This window comes from Homo sapiens, chromosome 1 (genome assembly GCF_000001405.40).
Source record: "Homo sapiens chromosome 1, GRCh38.p14 Primary Assembly".
Lineage (NCBI taxonomy): Eukaryota > Metazoa > Chordata > Mammalia > Primates > Hominidae > Homo > Homo sapiens.
In genome coordinates, this window is record NC_000001.11 from 23,053,551 (window position 1) to 23,075,379 (window position 21,829).

The 21,829-nt window shown below is 38.4% G+C and overlaps 1 protein-coding gene across 9 annotated transcripts in view; it reads left to right on the forward strand.

Moving 5' to 3' along the window:
* Nucleotides 1-21,829, forward strand: part of KDM1A (lysine demethylase 1A) — a 64,222-nt gene that overhangs the window by 34,083 nt on the left and 8,310 nt on the right. For 4 of the 9 annotated variants that reach the window (XM_006710473.4, NM_001410762.1, XM_047449677.1 and 1 more), the window contains 10 exons: nt 211-289; nt 1,519-1,611; nt 2,382-2,488; nt 3,934-4,015; nt 5,523-5,617; nt 14,989-15,131; nt 15,511-15,601; nt 17,675-17,809; nt 18,574-18,647; nt 19,724-19,853. In XM_006710473.4, the coding sequence (XP_006710536.1) occupies nt 211-289; nt 1,519-1,611; nt 2,382-2,488; nt 3,934-4,015; nt 5,523-5,617; nt 14,989-15,131; nt 15,511-15,601; nt 17,675-17,809; nt 18,574-18,647; nt 19,724-19,853 (1,029 nt within the window). Of the gene's footprint in view, nt 1-210; nt 290-1,518; nt 1,612-2,381; nt 2,489-3,933; nt 4,016-5,522; nt 5,618-12,509; nt 12,522-14,988; nt 15,132-15,510; nt 15,602-17,674; nt 17,810-18,573; nt 18,648-19,723; nt 19,854-21,829 lie in introns of all 9 variants that reach the window. The other 5 variants (XM_017000716.2, XM_005245786.3, NM_001410763.1 and 2 more) reach the window with 2 other exon arrangements.

Sequence of the window (21,829 nt, forward strand, 5' to 3'; positions counted from 1 at the left end):
AGTTTTTATATTTTTAGTTGAGATGGGGTCTCACTATATTGCCTAAGCTGGTCTCAAACTCCTGGGCTCAAGTGATCCTTCCACCTCAGCCTCCCAAACTGCTGGGATTATAGGTGTGAGCCACTGCAGCCAGCTAAAAGATGATTTTAAAGATAGTCAAATAACATATGTCTATTTGTATGTAATACAATTTATGTCATTTAAATGCAGCTGCAGTTGTGGTTGGATAATCCAAAGATTCAGCTGACATTTGAGGCTACTCTCCAACAATTAGAAGCACCTTATAACAGTAAGTAGTGTGTTCAATAGGACTAATTTGTACTGGATTGTGAAAATTGATACGTTCTTCTAGGAGCCTCATGGTTCCTTGATAATTAATTTTTTCATTCATATTTCCATGTTATTTCACCTTGTGCTGTGCAAAAATAAGTCTTATAGAAAACCTGTTTTCTATGTTTTTATTCATCTTCTGGTCTTTAAATTGTGTTAACAGATGAGTTCAAGAGATTGCTAAGTACTCTTCCTAGACCTGTTGTCCAGCTTTGATCCATGGAATACTTCGGCGCTTCATGGCTCACTATCTGGTTTTCTTATTTCAGACTTGGCACCAACAATGTCTTGTGATGTTTTTGCCAAAGTAAATGAGTGTTATAACTACTTTGTGAAGGTTTGGTTTTATTCTCATTCCATTTGTGGTGGAATGAAATTCTTAAAAATTTTAAATTAGACAGACACAGTGATGTGCACCTATAGTCCCAGCTACTCAGGAGGCTAAGGTGGGAGGATTTCTTGAGCCCAGGAGTTTGAGTTCAGCCTGGGCAACATAGTGAGACCCCTATCTCTCAAAAAAATTAAAAATTAAATCAATACAATTCCAAATTATGTGTTACACATTTTGGCCTGCTTCACAGACTAATAGTTCTAAGAATCACATTGATTGAGTGAGTGAGTGATTGACAGTGTCTCCTTCTGTTGCCCAGGCTGGAGTGCAGTGGCGCATTCACAGCTTACCTCAGCCTTGATCTGCCAGGCACCATCATGCATGGCTAATTCTTTGTTTTTTTGTAGAGTCGGGGTCTTTACAGTGATTTATTTATTTTTTGAGATCTGATCTAGCCTGGGCTAGAGCGTACAGGTACAGTCATAGCTCCCTGTAGCTAGGAACTCCTGGGCTCAGGTGATCCTCCTTCCTCAGCCCCCCAAGTAACTAGGACTATGGGCATGCACCATCATACATGGCTAATTTTTTGTTTTTTATAGAGACAGGGTCTTGCTGTGTTTCCCAGGCTGGTCTTGAACTCCTGGCCTCAAGTGATCCTATCACTTCAGTCTCCCAAAGCCACTAAGATTGTGTGCATCAGCCACCGTGCCCAGCCTTAGAATTACTTTTTTAAAGGAGTCACATGACTTGAAGCTTAATGGTTTTAAGGACTTCATGATGGAGAAATGGAAGAGTTAGAAGAATATTGTTTAAACTGCTGAAAATAAAACCGTGTTTTTAATCCACTTATTCTGTAGGTGATACTGTGCTTGTCCACCGAGTTCACAGTTATTTAGAGCGTCATGGTCTTATCAACTTCGGCATCTATAAGAGGATAAAACCCCTACCAAGTAAGGACCTCCTACCTGGCTGATAAATTTTACATTTTTAAGTTACGGTTTCAGGACTGTATTTTATATCTATGATGACGTTAGGATTTTATTTTGATTCATAAGACTATATTTAAAAATATTTCCAAGTTTATCTTCTTAAAGTCAAGTTAAATATAATAAATAAATAATAAAAAATATAGTCTCTTAATAAATGTGCATTTCCCTTAATTTCTAGTTTGATAGCTACTTAGTAAAAGATACTGGATTTCCAATTTAAAAAAAAGAATAAAACAGTACAATTTGTTAAAAATGAGAGGAGTTCATTCTGAGGTTTTTCTCTCATTGACCCATTCTTTATGTTGTCAATAGTTGATTTTTTAATGCTTTAATCATTTTTTCAAAAGGAGACTTAAGACTACAAGGTTAGAGGTTAAGGGAAATAGCTTATATGCAGAATGTGTCCTAATGTAATTATGAAGTAAATGAAGCAGATTATTAACAAATTAACTAAGAATCACAGATACTGAAACACATGCCTGAGGTAATGAGAAAATAAATCTTAAGATAGTGGATTTGATTTATAAATGTTCGACACTGAATTTGAATTCATAAGTTTCAGATATTTGTTAATTTATTTTCAGGTAGTTTCCATATTTTGAAAATAACTCTCTGTATTTTTTACTTTGTAAGCTATTATGTTAAGAACCTAGAGGTTTTCATGAAATAAGACTGTAAGTACAAACTTTTATACCTAAAACAAAATCTTTTTTTTCATTTTTTGCTTTTAGCTAAAAAGACAGGAAAGGTAATTATTATAGGCTCTGGGGTCTCAGGCTTGGCAGCAGCTCGACAGTTACAAAGTTTTGGAATGGATGTCACACTTTTGGAAGCCAGGGTAAGAATTTCATTTTGAGTTTAGAGGCTTGACCTATTGGAAATATGGTAAGCAAATTATCTGTTGCAAATTAAAGAATTATACAACTTGAACTAAGCTAAATTGATTTGTATAATACTCAGAGTATTTTGGATAGTGTTATTTATATTTTTAAAAAGCTTTTTTTTTTAATGAATGCTTTGAAAAGTACTCTGTGAAGAGGGTTTTAGAGTATTTCTTTTCCTGACTGATATTTTCAGATCATTATTTCTTGTAGTTAGCTCTCAAATTTGGGGCCTTCATGGACATATCCTTTGTTAGGAGGCAGTTATTTTTGATGGTGGAACAGAGTGAATTCCCTGTTTTTGATAAAGAAAAAAAGCTGCTTCTCAGGCAGGAACCATCTTTTAGAAGCCAAGATACTGGTTTTTTTCCTGTTAGTCCTAGAGAGAGAAATGGAAACAGGAGGAGCAATAAGGGATAATGGCACACAGTAGGAAAAAGAGCATCATATTAGGATGCTACTATTCAAGCTATTTTCATGAATAATTTTTGAAATCTAATGATCTTCTAATGGCTTTGAACTGCTAATTTTTTAAAAGAGTATGGGGAAATTGAAATTAAATATTTTCCTGATATACTATTATTAAAAATTTTATATATTTAGAAAACATCTTTGTGCACTTTGTACATTTTGTATTAAAAAATACAATAAGGAATAATAGGACCATTTTGATTCCTACCCATGAGGAGTTTGTAATCTAGTATGTAGGTTTTTGTTTTGTTTGCATTTTTGTTTGTTTGTTTGGAGTTCCAGAGTACTCTTACATTATTTATAATCATTAAATTATCGCTACAACTCAGCCATACTTGAAAATCCCTCGTCAGCAGTGATAAACCTGGGCCTATTTAGGGATAAAAGGTATTGTGAACAGGCTATGTTCAGTATGGACTCTCTGCCCCTGGGCATGGGGGTGCACTGGAGAACCATTTGTCAGAAAAATTATCCATCAGATTTTTCCCCGCTAACTTTGGGGATCAGGGTGTAAGAGTCAGATTACAGTGGTAGAAAGTTGGTGTTTAAATAGTGTTGGGATTTGTGAACAAATATTTTCTATATGGGTGGCCCTGTACATTAAAAGGTATTATAGACAACTGGATAGAGTGGTACCTGTGACTAAATTTATCTTCCAGCTGTCAAGACTGTTTTATATCACATCATTTAATTCTGTGTCGTTTAGTTATATGACATTTAATTATATGTCATTTGTTGCCTGCTTCTCCTTCAAATAGTCTTCAAGTTAAACTTCATTTGTTCTTTGTGCCCATAGTACTGTTGATTGCATTCCATGTAAACTCTACATCTTTATTTTTAAATTATAGAAGACAGAGCCGTGGTATGGTACTATGCCAGGTTTGTGGTTAAAACAGAATTGATGATTTTGGCTACTTAATTTCTGAAACAGGATCGTGTGGGTGGACGAGTTGCCACATTTCGCAAAGGAAACTATGTAGCTGATCTTGGAGCCATGGTGGTAACAGGTCTTGGTAAGTAGCTATTGGTTTGTGCTATATAGTACATGGTCTAAGACTCATAAAAGAAATTTAAAGCCAGAGATGCTATTTTAAAATGTATTGGTTTAGAATAGTCATCTTCCGTTTAGTGAGAGGTATAGCAGTATGTGGAAAATGTAAATTGTACATATCTTTTGACCTAGAGTACCTTTTTCTAGTTCTAGGAAATTATCATATGAAGATAAGTAGATAATGTTGTGTTTGAAGCTTTTTTTTTTTTTTTTTTTGTGAGACAGAGTCTCGCTCTGTCACCCAGGCTGGAGTGCAGTGGCGTGACCTCCACTCACTGCAGTCTCCTCCCTCAGCCTCCCGAGTAGCTAAGACTACAGGCACACACCACCATACCCAGCTAATTTTTTGTATTTTAGTAGAGGCGAGGTTTCACTATGTTGGCCAGGATGGTCTCGATCTCCTGATCTCATGATTAACGTGGCATTGTTTTTGTTTGTTTCGAGACATGGTCTCGCTCTTTTGCCCAGGCTGGATTGCAGTGGCATGATCTCAGCTCACTGCAACCTTTGCCTTCCATGCTCAAAGGATCCTCTCACCTCAGCCTCCCTAATAGCTTGGAGTACAGGCATGGGCCACCATGCTTGGTTAATTTTTAATTCTTTGTAGAGATGAGGTCTCACTATATTGCCAGGCTGATCTGAATTCCTGGGCTCAAGCAGTGCTCCCAAAGTGCTGGAATTACAGCACTGGTCTCAAACTCCTGACCTCAGGTGATCCACCCACCTCGGCCTCCCAAAGTGCTAGGATTACCAGCATGAGCCACCATGTATGGCTTAAACTAGCTTTTGAACAAGCTTATAGGACAAGTACAAAGAACCCCACTAATTTATGCTTGTAATTACAAATACGTTTCATGGCTTTAGAAATCTAAAGAGATAGGTTAGTAGCTTTATGAGCCACAACGCCCGGCCTTGTTTGTTTTTAATAGAAACAGGGTCTTGCTCTGTTGCCCAGGCTGATGTTGAACTCCTGGCCTCAAGAGATTCTTCTGCCTTAGCCTTCCAGAAGGTTGAGGTTGTGGGCATTAGCCAGCTTGCCCATCCCTGGTATTGTTTTTCATAGCAGAACATTAGAAACCACAGATTAGAATATTATACGATGAGAAATATACAGCCACTAAAAATCATGTAGCTCCGTATTAGCGTAAAACGATGTCCACAATATATTGCTAAGTTGAAAAGATATTATAAAACAATACGTATTATGATACTTTTTTGTGTGGGTCTGTAATTTTATACACTTAAAATCTAGAAGAATCTGTAATGTTAATTAGTGGGATTATAGGTAATTTTTTTGCCTTCATGTTTGTCTTACATATTTTTACTTAGAGTGCTTTTTTTTTTGAGAAATAATTACATACTGTAAGCTTTTGAGCTTTTTATATTTTGAGTAAAAATATTTTTTACTTTAAGGTTTTTGTTCTCTCTTCATAGGTCTATTGAATTTAATTGCTTGAGTTTTTTTCTAGGAGGGAATCCTATGGCTGTGGTCAGCAAACAAGTAAATATGGAACTGGCCAAGATCAAGCAAAAATGCCCACTTTATGAAGCCAACGGACAAGCTGTAAGTCGAGGACAAACAGAACTTTCAACATTTCTTTGGTTCACTTGAAAACAATTTTAGGAGAATGGTATGGATGAGCATATACATATATACACATATAGAGGTGTATATATATATAAACTGAGGGTAGAGATGATGTGATGTTATTCTGGTTGTTTCTTAACTCTTGAGCTATGTAGGAAAGGATTATTGTATATATACACATTTACCTGTCTGTTTAACATTTATCTTTAGATATTTAATGAAGGCTAGCTAGACAGTTAATCTTTTTATTTGGCTGTGGCCACTTACTCCAAGGGACTTATGGAATTGAAACCTGATTCTTCGGTTTTTTTTGTATTGTGCCTTCCATCACGTGCTTTAGCTCCATGTGTTCTTTATGACTTCAGTTCTGTGTTCATAGGCTAACATTTTTGATGGGCTAATAGCCAAATGGTGGTACTTACTCACATGCTTAGATAGGCTAAAGTATTTATTGACCAGAGGCATAGGAGCTTCCTATACTTAGTATGACAATAGCATGAAAGTGATGAATGGTATGGGGAATTGCACAGTTTAATGACTGTAAGATAAGCTTAGATTACATAAGTCAGTCCTAATTTTTTACAAGTGAGTGAAATTCAAAAGTTTGTATTTAGCAAAATTTTACTGACTGCCTTTATCAAAATGAGAGCCCACACTTCTCAGGATATAAGTACATATTGTCTTTATATTTGGGGGAAATGGTGATTTCCTATGTATACGGTGGGTTTAGCTATTCTTACTAAAAGTAGTAGGATCCCAACTCGTGAATTTTGTGTGATATGTCTCAAGGAACATCCTCACTTACTCCTATCTACCTTAAGGCTTTATGGGGTTCATATCAGAGAAGGACAGACTCTCAGGGAATGCTTTGGTTTCCATCCCCACCATCATGGTCCAAATTTCCCACCAGGGCTTGGGTGGGGTGGATAACAGGAGGCTTCTTGCAGAATAAACTGAGCAGAATGAGAGAGAAAGGATGAAATAGAGATGAACTCAACAATTGAGTAAACTTCTCTTACTCTACCAAGATCTGTAAAGGATATAGAGATGAATAAGGTAGTCCCTGCTATAGTGGTGCTTGTAGAGAAATAATTCTTTTTTCCCAACTTTTTATTATGGAAATTTAAAAACACGGACTGAAGTAGAAAGAGTACTATAGTGAACCTCTGTTTTCCCAATCTTGTTTTATCTGTCCCATTCCTGCACTTTTGAGTCCAGGGGAAGTCTGGAGTATTTTAAAGCAGATCACAAACATATCATCCATAAATATATTAATACCAGTAACATAAAGTGAAAGCCAAGGATTAGATAGAAGAACAAATTGCTATGGAAGAACCAAGGTGGCAAGAGGGTGTATGAAGGTGTAAGGGAAAGGACACTAAGAGATCTGGAGGGAAGGAGAGCATTTGTAAATGGCAAATCAGGATTTCAACATGTGTTTATGGAAGGGAAAAGCATTGCTGGCAGAGGAGGTTTAAGTCTTAAGTAGAGAAGTCTGTAAAGGAGGGTAGGATTATACCAGCGAGGGTAGGAAGATAGAAAGTTTAGGGTGGGGCCATGTGGTGGTGGATGTTACTTGCTAGGCTTGATTGTAGGTTGGAACTTGAGAGGTTTGAGAACAGGGGAAATGACACGATTAAGTCAGTGTTAAAAGTATAATATTAATAGTAGGCAATAAGTACAGAATTGAGGTGAGGGGAGGGAAGCAAGTCTCCAGAGTGGCTATTACCGTCCTCAAGAAGTGATAAGAGTCCACAGTAAAGATTAATCACTGATCATTGAGACGCCATCTTTTTCTTTAGACTTTTCTGAATGTAGAGCAGGTTGATTAAGTCTTTCTAACGTAAAGAGAGAACTTTTTTCTAGTAGAGATATCCAGAGAAATGGACTGCTTTCTTGGTATTAGATGAGCTTTAGCGCATTTTTTAAAACATTTGTTTCTGTACCACTGTTGTCCTCAGGTGGGGCCTGCACTGGCTGCCAGTCTGTGAACTGTCAATTACCAGTGTGGAATGAGATAAAGAAATTACACCACTAACCACACTGTTAATTCAGATGGTGACTTTTTTTTTTCCTGGTAGCAAAACTCTCAGTGAAGAAAGTGGTGCGTTGATTTATCCACATCTTACCAGGACCAGCCCTTTGAGTAGCACTATAAACAGTTGTTAACCTCATGTGTGGTTTTTAGCATTTTGAATGCAGGGATATTTTTCCCAACGAAATTGGTAGTTGTCATTCAACTCTGATCTGTATAGGATTTTTCTAAGTTGATACATTTGTATTTGGTGCAGTAGCCAAGTGATAAGGAAGATTTTAAACCATTCTCAAATTTGGGAAGGGATTCTTTGCAGCTTTGAGTTATGCTTGCCTTAGTTAATCAAACATAAGGCATGCTAATATTTCTGTACTGCTGTCTCCAGTAGTCTGTCTCAGAGCAAGAATGGAAAACTGTTGACTAATAAACTAGCCTTTTTTTTTTTTTTTGAGACAGAGTCTTGCTCTGTCACCAGGCTGGAGTGCAGTGGCACAATCTTGACTCACTGCAACCTCTGCCTCCCGGGCTCAAGTAATTCTCGTGCCTCAGCCTCCTGAGTAGCTGGGATTACAGGCATGCGCCACCACGCCCCACTAATTTTTTTGTATTTTTAGTACAGACAGGGTTTTTCCATGTTGGCCAGGCTGGTCTTGAACTCCCAACCTCAGGTAATCCACCCACCTTAGCCTCCCAAAGTGCTAGGATTACCAGCATGAGCCACTGTGCCTGGCCTAAACTAGCTTTTGAACAAGCTTAAAGGACAAGTACAAAGAGCCCCACTAATTTATGCTTATAATTACAAATACATTTGATGGCTTTAGAAATCTAAAGAGATAGGTCAGTAGCTTTATTCTCTTATTGCAGGAGAAGAAACTAAAGCTCACACACGTGTTTGCCTAAGGTTATCATAATCAGTAAGTTGAAGAGCCAGAATCCATTGCCTGGTGTTCTTGTTCAGATTCCCATACTTGTTTGACTACACCTGGCTGACATTTCAGGGAAGATGGGGTGAGGTTAGTGTATGCACCTCTTTCTAACTGCCTGTGTGACGACATCAGCTGAGTCTCCTTCTCTGAGAGCTTTGTTGTAGTTACTCTAGGAGCCAGCAAGGCCTACCTAAAGTAAAAATTCATTCAGTCATTGATTTTTCTTTAGTAAACTTGGATGAAATGGGGTTCTGTTTCTCCATGCTTTGTGGACAGCTTCAGTCAAAAAACGTAACTTGTTGGTTCTGTTGTTAGTATGTAGAAATTAATGATGTCATCCTGTAGAAGGCCAGAAAGTTACTCAGAGTTATATCACTAGTAATAGTGTCTTAAGGACATATCTCCATACCCAGACATTTTGCTGCTGTAGGAAAAGAAATCATGTAGCAAGTGATTTTTATTTTATGTCATTGTTTTAATCACAATCACAAGAATCCCTCAAAAAGTTTACCTCTCTGTTCTCTCTCCTACATTTGTAGCTAGTATATTGAGTTTCTGTGCTTGTTTTTGACAAGGGACGTTTATTTTATGGCTTTGGATGACCACAACAAAGTCTTCCTTAGTAAAGATATTAATATGAGAGATATAATATAAAGATATAATATAGGGATACTAAGCATATCCCTCTAAATAGAAGGGATCTCCACTACCTTAAGCCTATAAAACAGTCAGAGCTAGTATAGCAGCTGCCTTCAGTTGATTGGTGATGGAGTTATACTCTGACCTATGCTGTCATCAGTAATAGCTTTAATTGGACATGCGGAAGGTTGGGAAATAGGGTAATTCATATTTCAGGGAACATTTTGCTGGTCTCTGCTGAGGGGACTGAAAGCACAATTGGTGGGGGAGACAGAGGAAATGGCTCTGAATATTTTCTGCATCTCCTGTACATCAGGCAGTAACTCATGGGCTTTACTTTTTTTTTTTCTTTTTTTGGAGTAATGAAAGGGTATCTTAATCAAATTCCCACAGTGCTGTAGCATTGGGGGGGGGGTGTGGTGTGGGGTGGGTGTGTGTGGGTGTGTGTGTGTGTGTGTGTGTGTACCAGCTGAGATCCACAGGTTCCAGTAACTGCTTTGAGAAACTGAGCCTTGATTGCTTCTTGAGAATGGTTCAGCTGTTAAGAGAAAGAATGACAGACAGCATGTGAAAAGTAATGGGTGTCAGGTCTCTTACAAACACCGTTAACTATAGGTGTATTAGGTATCTATCGTAACTTTGCCGGTTTTCATTTGTGTTCTTATACAGTGGTGCTTAGGTTAGTATGCTTTTGACACAGGTCTGTTGGCCTTCTTGGTTTTCTTCCTTTGAACAAACATCTTCAATATCTTTATGACAGTCTTTCTCTGCCCTTTGAAATCATTACTGCCAATCCATGCTTATTTATAAATGTAAAAATCTCATGCCTTCCTTTAATGGTCCTGAAGTTGCAAATAGTTTTTGCCCCCTTAATTATAGTTATAATACTGACTTTGCTTTTCCAAACTATATTAATTTATTCATTTAACAAGAATTTACTGGGCACCTCTACTATATGCTAAAAACTGCTAGAGAGAACTACTTAGACATGTTGTGTGTGCCTTTTCCATACACTCTAATCACTGCTTTAAGGAAGTCAAAAAGATTCCTTATGGGGTGGGAGTGGGGGGAAGACAACAGTCTCTATAGAATCACATTGATTATTTTTGTTTTTGGAGACAGATCTTGCAGTGTTGCCCAGGCTGAAGTGCAGTGGCACAAACATGGCTCACTGTTGCCTTGCCCTCCTGGGCTAAAGTGATTCTCCCCCTCAGCCTCGTGAGTAGCTGGGACCACAGGCACACACCCCTACACCTGGCTAATTTAAAATAATTTTTTGTAGAAATGGAGTCTCACTATATTGCCCAGGCTGGTCTCAAACTCCTGGGCTCAAGTGATCCTCCTGCTTCAGCCTCCCACAGTGCTGGGATTTATAGATGTGAGCCACTGCTCCCAGCCTAGAATCACATTGAATTTTATTTGGATTAAGGATATATTCGCCCTATGGGGATAATAGCTATATCTCATTTCCCTTGGCTGTTGAGGAGAATCTGAATTAGAGACTCTTCAGAAGTAAATTTCTTCTTCTAGGTTTTACCAAATGAACTAATCTTAATCTTCTGCTTTACCATAATTCTAGAAGTGCTCGATGGCATGGGATGGGGAGGTGGAGATTGACTGTGGCCTCCACTGGCCAGATTTGGCCATTACTGCCTTTTTCTGATTCTTTCTGGGGATTTCTCTGGCTAAATCTCAGAACTTTGATTACCTAGCGTACATTGCTGCATTTAACTCCATTCTGCTCTGCTGCTGTAGAGTTTGTGAAGACTGGAAGTAAGATAGGTGTACAATGTTTCTGAAGACCTAAAGAGCTTGTTAGAATGATACCAGAGGTAGAAAGAACTAAAGAGAGCTGTCCTCCTTCGAGATTACTTCTTGCAGGATTGGGGACCTTGTCCAGAAAGTTGTTTGGCTTTCCCACATTCTGCATGGGCGAGACACACAGGCTTCCCTTCCCCTGGACACATTTAGAGACAGTCCATATAATCTACAGGACCAAGACAATCAGGATTGAACCTATTTGGAATAGTGAGACTCTTCAAATCCTGTTAGTCTTGAAGGAACTATTTACCTGGAGCCTTTCATAGAGAAATAAATGGCTTCAAAAAGTCAATCAAAATCTGTTTAAAGTGATGTCCATTTTGTTTGCTTCTTAGAACGCTCTTAACATTATTGGTCCTTTCCCCAAAAATGTTTCTTAGTTTGCTGTTACAAGTTCTCACTGTGTTGCAGGGTAGAAATCCACCTGCCTTCTAATGTGGTACTTAAAACCCATTGTAATCATTCGTTGAGTTTCTTTCTCAGGATACAAGTTAAGGATCTAGATTAGAATAGTCAGGTAAGATTTAAATTATTGTGACCTATGTTTAGCGATTGCCAATATTTCAATTCCATTTTGTTGTTATTGTTCCATAATAATTTGTAGAACTAATAGAATCCAAGGATTCTCATCAAGGGGAAATAAATGACTTAAAGTATGGGTAGTTTGGGGTTGTTGGGATAGTCATTTGTTAGTTTTATTGTCTGGATATGTCAAATAGAATATTTCTAACTAGCTTGTTTTTAGAAATGATCCTGTTTTAAAGGTATTAAAAAGCACATTTTGGTTTTCTCCCAGTCAGTATTGATTTCCTAAGGGACAAGTATTTTATGTATTATTTTCCAAATATTCCTTTAATTTCAAAGTGAAATCTTAATGTTAGTGGGGAAAAAAAGCCAGGTTTCAAAGCTATCCCTGGCTGCACTTGCAACATTCCTGTAATTGCTTAACTAGGTGGAAATGGATGGGGCCTGGTGGCTGACAATCTCACATAATCTCATACAACTGAGCCTCGGGTTAGAATGGTGTACCGGAGATGCAGTCCTGTCATCTGGTGTCAGTCAAATGTGGCAGCAATCTTTTGGTTTGGTTTTTGTTTGTTTGATTTTGTTGTTGTTGTTGTTGTTGTTGTTACTGTTCTGTGTTTTTCCTTTCCTCTTTTGAGTTTTGCTTTATTCCTCACTGCTTTCTGACACTTCCCCCTCACTCCCCTGTCTTTTGTTAACTGCCTTTCTTTTGGCCATTTCTGTGCCTTGACTTTCCCATTTGGTCTCTGTACAATCTGTTCCTTATTTCTCTGGTGGTTGCAGCTTCTGAGCTAACAGAATGCTTCTGTCATGCTATGTGTTTAAAGCCTTGATTTTATTGCTGTCATACAAAACTAAACTTGATGTGGCTGTTGGGCTGTTATTTACAGTTTATTTCTCTCTCTGCTGCACTGGTTAAAAGGACACTGTCAAGGTATTTTTTTCATAATTTTTCAAATCATTTTCCTCACTGTTTACAATAACCCATTAAAAGCTTGAAACCTAAATCTTTTCCTTTCAAAGATCCTCTCCATCATACATTCACACTGGTTTGTTGTTGTAGAGTTGCGCCTATATGTTGGGCTGGTGCCATTTGAGTTTTTGTCATTGAAAGCACGTGTAAAACATTAGGTTTTTTGTGGGTGGTGTGGGTGGACTAAGGGGGAAAGTGTAATGAATCCAGTGGGCTGCTCAGCAAACAGAGGGAAGAAACAGGTCAAATTTGGTCCCTCTAACCTTGACAGTGTCCCTTTAAATATTTCTCTACCACACACCCTGGACCCCAGTTACTGAGCCTGAGTGCTGTGTACTTTTTCAGTATGAACTTCCCTTTGTGATTGTCATCCTAGTTGCAAAGATTAAAGCTTGTCTGAAGCAAGCCATCCAGTTGACACTGGAAGAGCTTTAATCTGTACCATTTGCACACTTGTGTTTGACACATTCTGCCCTATTGTAGAGGCATATGTGATCTAGTAGTCCCTCTTGGCTGCTATAGCATCCTCTTGCTAGGCATTTTAGAAGCAACACATAGAAATATCACTTTTATACTCCAGGAAAAGCAGTCAGGCGCATTGCATCTGTGATCAGTTAAGGTCTCATAACTACCTAGATTTCACATTGAAATGTAATTGTTTCTCCTTTTTGAAAGAAAAACCAAATTTAGATTTCCAGAACCATCTTTTGTAGCATCATTGCAGGATTTGCACTAGAAGTAGCATGTTTCTGAGCAAAATTTCAGCATTGTTTGAGTTGCTCTGCATATGACCATCACATATCACATCAGTGAGGAAAAGTAGCTGAGAAAGTAAATGAAATTCCTGACCAAAGGGTCTCTTCCATCAGCTCTCATAGCTGTGTAATAAGAACAAGCTCTTTTTTTGGCCATTGAGTTGAATGAGTAGTAGATCACAGGTTTTTGATCTACCAGTCTTAGGTACCTTCCTGATATAAATGGCACCAAGTATCTGAAGCCTGATTCTCTGCCTCATTTAACACAAACCAGAATATTTTTAGAGATTTAGATTTTCTTTAGGCTAAGGGTAATTCTTTAATTATAAAGATACCCTGATCCCTCCCATGTATAGTCTTTGGGAACTTACTGTTTGAATATGATTTTTAAATCAGTTATGGTATCTGTCATATTTACAGTTCAAAGGAGAGTTGCAGTCCTCTTTCTTTTTGGGGGCAGATTGCCCTTCTTGCCAGATTCTTTCTGCCACACACTGGCTCATCTCGTAGTGTTACTTGTGTTATCAGTGAAGGAGCAGAGGCCAGGGTTCAAAATCGTCTGTTGGGTTGGGAAGTGGAAAAACTGTGGAGTTTCAAATGAGAGGTAGAATCTTACTGGGATGGTCTTGTCAACAGTCAGTTACCTCTGATTGTAAAAGGTCGCTCCTCCTGAGTCTTAGTGTTTACTAGAATTTGCTTCAATGTTTTATTTTTGTGTTACCAGTTTTAGGTTGACTGTATAATGAAATTCTGTATTTTGAATCACATTTCCCTGCTGATATCAGCCCAGCTTATAACAAGTAATGCTTGCCTTAAACATATTTTTTCTTTCTCTCACTTCTGCCATCAATTCAACAATAGGATTGCAGATACAGTTTACTTTGGGGCTGAATTAAGCAGTAGCAGAGGGGTGTTTGTAAACTAACTGATGTTATCAATAGGCAGGGACACAGCATGGCTTAGGATCATGGTCTTCCAGCTTGATGACCTGCTTTGCAATCTGTTTGCTTCATCCACATCAATGAGGAGCCAGACCTTCTGGTCCTTCATTTACTCATAGACTCTCTTAAGAGCTTTGTACATTCAATTCTGAACTTATTGGTGCCATAAAATATTATTACTGTGCAAAAGAATAAAAGTGCTAGTGTGTTCTTATTAGTAGCCATGAATTTCATTTCTCTTTTCCCTCTTCCCACCTGAGATTCATCTTTGAGGGGAAGCCAGATACCTTGGGCTTCTTATTTTCCCATCCTGCCCTTATTCTTGGAAGGTCCTCAGGTTTGTTGACATGGTTTTTGTTCTCTGGGACTTTTCTAGTGTGTTGTTTGCATGTCAGCCAGCTCAACTTAATGCATGTCAGCTCAGTGCCACTTGTGCTCCATGTGACTTCAGTTAGCACCAGTGTAAATCTTGTGGCTGTTAATAGAGGTGGAGTCCCAGCTCTGACGGCAGTAGTGGGAGAAGAAGAGGAAATTGTCAGGGCCCAAACATTTCATATCTCATTTAAATGGATCTGACCACTTCATAGAAAAGAAAATTTGAATCATTGTGCTCAAAGGTTTCCCCTTTGAGATACATATTTTGACCTTTATAAACTATAGAGCATTTGTGTTTTCATGGATGGTTATGTTTAGTTTTATAAGGACCAACTCTGCTATACTTCGGATTTTCAGGTTCCTAAAGAGAAAGATGAAATGGTAGAGCAAGAGTTTAACCGGTTGCTAGAAGCTACATCTTACCTTAGTCATCAACTAGACTTCAATGTCCTCAATAATAAGCCTGTGTCCCTTGGCCAGGCATTGGAAGTTGTCATTCAGTAAGTACTTTGATACTGCTTATTGTATAGTGAGTTCCATGTGTAAAGATTTGCTATTTATGTTTTAAGTTTTTCTGCAAGTCTTGTTTGAGGTAGTTTTTACTTAATTTTGTATGAAACCATTGAATCCAAAGTTAAAAATTATTTAAAATAATTATATGATCCCTTAAGGCCCCTTTCACTTCTAAAATTCAGTGCTTTTATGGTATTATACTATATTTAACATAGCCTAGGAAATAATTTCCAACTAGCCAACTTTCTTGTTCCTAAGTATCAGAAGTTTCAGTGGGCCTTGATGCCCTTAAATGTTTTTGATGGGCACCTGTCTTATTCTGCAAAGTTGGCTTTGAGAGCAGATTATACATATTGTCTCTCTTAGGTTACAAGAGAAGCATGTCAAAGATGAGCAGATTGAACATTGGAAGAAGATAGTGAAAACTCAGGAAGAATTGAAAGAACTTCTTAATAAGGTGAAATTCTGTATTTTCTTCATAGCTGAAGAAGCTTTAATAGGAGAAAAAGTCTTTAGAAATTTTAAAAGCATTTCCGAGATTTTTTCCTCCATGGAAGAGAAAGTCTGCACAGCTGGGACTCATTCTTAAGAAAATAATGACTAACGAAAGAGACTGTTTTATCTGTCAGTCTTTCAGTGTGGCATTATTGATAAATGGTTGCCAGAGGAAATAGATCTTTCCTCTTTGTCTGGTTCCCTTTGGCTCAGGGGTGTCCAGTCTTTTGGCCTCCCTCAGTCACATTGGAAGAAGAAGAATTGTCTTGGGCAACACATAAAATACACTAACACTAATGATAGCTAATGAGCTTAAAAAAAATGGAAAAGAAAATTCAGTGTTTTGAGAAAATTTATGAATTTGTGTTGGGCCGCATTCAAAACTGTCCTGGGCCACGAGTTGGACAAGCGTGGTTTAGCTATTCTAAAGCTATCCCAGTGCCCTCAGCTGAATTCTAGGACTAGCAGGAGAATTAGCTGTACTGGAGCCAAGTTTTCATTGGTGAAGACCAACAAATCAGCAGCCAGTTCATTGGCATAATTATTTCTCTTGAGTTGCTGCCACCCCCACCTCTGTTCCCCAGGGCTGAACCGTTAGGGCTCTTCTCTGCCACCGCCTTCCAGAGCCCCAGGCTCCAGCGCATTAAAGTCCAACCATTTGCTTCTCCTCACCCTGCCAGCTGCAAAGGTCGCATCAGCTTAGGGAGAAAATAGCCCCTGGAGGGGGCCTTTATAGTGCATACTCTGGGTGTGCCTGTGACTGGACTCTTGCCTCACTCTCACTGTGCCTCATTCTTCATCCTGTCTAATGAAGAGATCTCCAGCTCACAGTCTTCATGGATTGTGGTAAGGATGAAATGAGAAGAGTGATTTAAGAACTGCCAAGTGGCCAGGATACCTGTAGGGTGGCCCAGTCTCAGGCTTTGTCACTCTTGTCCTGTGTGGTATCATCAGAAACCTGAAAAAAGCTAACATTAACAATGGTTCCTTAAGATTCTTTGGCCAGGCACAGTGGCTTATGCCTATAATCCCAACACTTTGAGAGGCTGAGGCAGGTGGATCATTTGAGGTCAAGAGCTCGAGATCAGCCTGGCCAAATGGTGAAACCCCTTCTCTACTAAAATACAAAAAATTTGCTGGGCATGGTAGCACACACCTGTAATCCCAGTTACTCAGGAGGCTGAGGCATGAGAATCATTTGAACCTGGGAGGCAGAGGTTGCAGTGAGCTGAGATTGTGCCATTGCACTCTAGCCTGGGTGACAGAACAAGACTGTGTCTCTTAGAAAAAAAAAAAAAATTCTTTGACCTTTTACATATTTAAAAAACACATTATAGGACCAGGCATGGTGGCTCACGCCTGTAATCCCAGCACTTTGGGAGGCCGAGGAGGGCAGATCACGAGGTCAAGAGATCGAGACCATTCTGGCTAACATGGTGAAACCCCATCTCTACTAAAAATACAAAAAATTAGTTGGGCATGGTGGCGGGTGCCTGTAGTCCCAGCTACTCAGGAAGCTGAGGCAGGAGAATGGCGTGAACCCAGGAGGCAGAGCTTGCAGTGAGCCGAGATGGTGCCACTGCACTCCAGCCTGGGCGACAGAGTGAGACTCTGTCTCAAAAAAAAAAAACAAACACACACATTATGACAATTTGTTTCCGAAAATAAGTTTAAGTTACATTAGCAACAGTTTCCTTTTTGTGGAGATTAAATTTATTTCAATACTGGGTTTTTTCTTTGTTTGTTTAAATTAATGGGACACTCCTCATCCTTCTCATTCGTTTTAGAAGGCAGCACTGATCTTACTTATCAGATAGAGTTGTGGTACCTTTATGTCAAGCCCTATAAGATTTCTTTCCTATTTCCCAAATGGAATGATGTAGGTTAGAACAAGTACTTAAGAATTCTCAGGACCTTGCATTGTAGCCCTGTTTTGTTGGGATAGCAGTTTTGAGGAGCCAAAAAAGGGTACATGTGATGTAGACATAAACTACATTGCTATCTGGAATGGTAAATTTGTATTTTTCCTTCTTAGATGGTAAATTTGAAAGAGAAAATTAAAGAACTCCATCAGCAATACAAAGAAGCATCTGAAGTAAAGCCACCCAGAGATATTACTGCCGAGTTCTTAGTGAAAAGCAAACACAGGGATCTGACCGCCCTATGCAAGGTGTGGTATACATACATGCCTAACTGGTTTTACTTGGAATCCTAAGAAATAGCACAGATCTGGGGAATTTTGGAAAAGAGAGCCACTAGCCAATCACAAGTGCCTTCAGTGCAATGAAGACGATTTGGTACATAAGGAGCCATGGGGATTTAATGGGTTAGTTCGGTTTAAGACCTGCTTGTCCTGCAGAATTCTTATCCTGTCTTAATAATCTCATCATTTTATCTTAAATCTCAATTTAGCCCTAACAGTTTAGAGTAAGAGTATTAAACATGGACTTCAGAGTCATTTGGGGTCAAACTGTCTGATTCAAATCCCTAACTTGGAATCTCGAGCCATGTGACCTTGGACTCCTTAATTGCCTCATCTGTAACATGGTCTTAACACCTACCTTGTAGGGTAATTGTGAAGCTTAAATAAAATTATGTATAAAGTGCTTACCCAGTGCCAGGGACATGGCATGCTTATGAAATGGTGCTTGCTATGATTTTTCATCCCCACTTTGCAGCACACTAGTATGTTTCTTCCATTATTTTCTCCTGTGTGCTCCTTGCCTCCCCCTAATATTCCAGGCCCCCAACTGTAACTTGTCTCCAAAAACAAAAATCTCTCAGCTCTATCTAACCCCAGCCTAAAATTGAGCCACACTTCCTGTACATGATCTGAAGAGGAAATATGATCCAGACCTTATACTTTGTGGTACAAAGAAACTAGGTGGATATCTGACCCTTCAGGGTAACTCAGGTTCACTTAATTTTTATCAGGAATATGATGAATTAGCTGAAACACAAGGAAAGCTAGAAGAAAAACTTCAGGAGTTGGAAGCGAATCCCCCAAGGTAAGGAAAACAAACACAAAAGTTCAGAGGGAGAGCTTTTACTGTTCTTTCAGCTTGATTTGGAAGGAAAATTCTAAATCATAATGAGCTTTTATTTATGTTCAGTGAGTGGTTTAAATTGTTAAATAAATGAATGTGTGACTACTTTTGAGGTTTCTAAATCCCCTGCTCCTGTATTTTAATGTGTCCTAGATACCTAAACAGATTGTTTCTAAAGAGAGAGCCTTTCTCCGTAAGATCTGATATTTGGATAAAGATGTAATAGATGGAAATTATCTTTCTTGAGAGGGTAGAAGTTGCTGTTGCTTTACACTTCCATAATTTTGGAAACTAGCGGGGTATTATACTTTATTTCCACTGGGTTTTTGACAGTGAATGCTGGTGAAATGTTTTCACTTGCATCCAGCCTCCACATAAATCTGTTCTGTTCTGTATTCAAGAATGCTACCCACCCTTTCTTTTTTTGAGATGGGATCTCGCTCTTGTTGCCCAGGCTGGAGTGCAATGATGTGATCTCAGCTCACTGCAACATCCACCTCCTGGGTTCAAGCAATTCTCTTGCCTCAGCCTCCTGAGTAGCTGGGATTACAGGTGCCCACCACCATGCCCAGCTAATTTTTGTATTTTTAGATGGGGTTTCACCTGTTGGCCAGGCTGATCTCGAACTCCTGACCTCAGGTGATCCACCTGCCTCGACCTCCCAAAGTGCTGGGATTACAGGCATGAGCCACAGCATCCAGCCTGCCCATCCTTTCTATAGAGTCTATGCTGTGTGTAAAATATAAGACATTTTTTACAACTAGTAAGCTTTTATGATATAAGGTGATTTCATATGAAGCATTCTTTTTTTTTTTTCCTTCAGACAAATGAGGCCTACATGTAATTTGCTTTACGTAGTGAGCTTGGCACTGCTCTAGACATCAGAGATAAAGAGGTTAATAAGACAGATAAGATGCTACTTTTTGATTTGTAATTTCTTCATATAAGGCACAGCCCTGGCTTAGGTTCTGACACAGTTACTGAGATCACCTACATCACACTGAGAGAACTAGTGATATCTTTTAATAATCCTGTAGTCCTTTGTTCTTTTGCAGTGATGTATATCTCTCATCAAGAGACAGACAAATACTTGATTGGCATTTTGCAAATCTTGAATTTGCTAATGCCACACCTCTCTCAACTCTCTCCCTTAAGCACTGGGATCAGGTAAGTTTCCCTTATTGTTTATTTTATTGCACATGCCTTTGAGAGGGATTGTAAGAGAAATAGTTAATTTTGTATGTGTGTTTTTAAACAGCTTTAGTAAGAGACATCATTTACATACAGTGAAATTCACCTATTTTAAGTGAACAGTTTATTGATTTGCCAGACTTCAGTCATAAGCCCCCACACAATCAGAATATAGAACATGCCCATCATCCTGAAATGTTTTCTCCTGCCTCTTTGTAGTTAATCCCCCATGCTCTGGCTCCTGGCCCTGGACAACCACTGATTTGCGTTATCACTGTAATTTTGTTTATTCTACAGTTTCATATAAAGTGAATCATACAGTACATAGCTTTTTGTGTGTGATATATTTCACTTAGTATAGTTTTTGAGATGTGCATGAAGTTTTTGAGATTCATCTTTTTTGCCTGTATCAGTAGTTTGTTCCTTTTAATTATTTAATAGAATTCCATTGTGTGGATATACCACTGGTGCCTTAATGGGCATTTGGGTTGTTTCCCTTTTTTGACTGCTAATGAACGAAGCTGCTTAAGAATGTTCATGTCTTTCTCTTGAGTAAATATTTATGAATGGAATTGCTGGGTACTATGGAAAGTGGATTTTTAACTTTATAAATCAACTTCCAAACTATTTTCCAAATTGCCTTCCCATCAGCAATGTATGAAAATTCCATTTTCTCCAAATCCTCACCAATCTTGGTAATGCCAGTTTTTAAAATGTCAGCCATTCTAATAGGTATAGTAGTATTTGCATTTCCCTGATGACTAGTGATGTAGAGCAACTCTTCCTGAGCTTATGAGCCATTCATATGTCATCTTTGAGTAAATGTCTGCTCAGATCTTTTGCCTATTAAAAAAGTCTGATTGTCTGCTTGTTGATGAGTTTGAAGTTTATTATGTTCTTTAAATTCTAGGCAGAAGTCCTTTGTCAGATTTATGTTTTACAAATATTTATTTCCTTGTCATCTGTGGCTTGTCTTTAATTTTCTAAATCTGTCTCAAAGAGTAAAAGTTTTTACTTTAATTTTTTTCTTTTGAGACAAGGTCTTGCTTTGTTGCCCAGGCTGGAGTGGTGTGATCATGGCTCCCTTGCAGCCTTTACCTCCTGGGCTCAAGTGATCTTCCTGCCTTGGACTCCCATTCCTATTTATAAAATTTTTCTTTTAAACCATGTTCTTTTTCTATCTTGAAAAGAATCTTTGTCTTACCTGTGGTCACAAAGATGTTATCCTGTGTTCTCCTGCAGAAATTGTATGGGTTTAGCTCTTATGTTTAGGTCTATACTCCATTTTGTGTTAATTTTTATGTTTAAGGAAAGGTAAGTGAAGGGTTCATGTTTTTCCATATAGTTATGTAATTATTATTCCAGCACTATCCTTTTCTTCATTTGTCTTGGCACCTTTGTTGAAAATTAATTGGCATGTAAGCATGAGTATTTAGGGTTGTCTTTTCTGTTAATTTATCTGTCTATCCATATGCCACTATCATACTGTCTTGTAAGTTCTCCAACTTTGTTCATTTTTGAAATTGTTTTGGCTATTTTAAGGTACGTATTTCCATAACAGTTTTAGAATCAACTTGTCAATTTCTACAAAAATCACCTTCTGGGATTTTGATTAGGAGTGCATTAAATTTCTAGGTCAATTTAGGGTGAATTGCCATCTTAACAATATTGAATATTCTTATCCTTAAATACAGTATACTTCTCCAAAAATAGTTTTCTTTCGTTTATGTCAGTGATGTTTTATAGTTCTCAGTGAGCAGGGCTATACCATCTTTTCTTAAATTTCAGTGTGATTTACTCTTCAAGTGAGAAATCACAAGGCTTCTTGGACCAATCTCTAAATCTGAGACTTTGGCCAGAATTAAGACTGTATAGGCTGGGTACGGTGGCTCACGCCTTTTTAAACCCAGCACTTTGGGAGGCCAGAGCAGGAGGATCAATTGAGTCAGGAG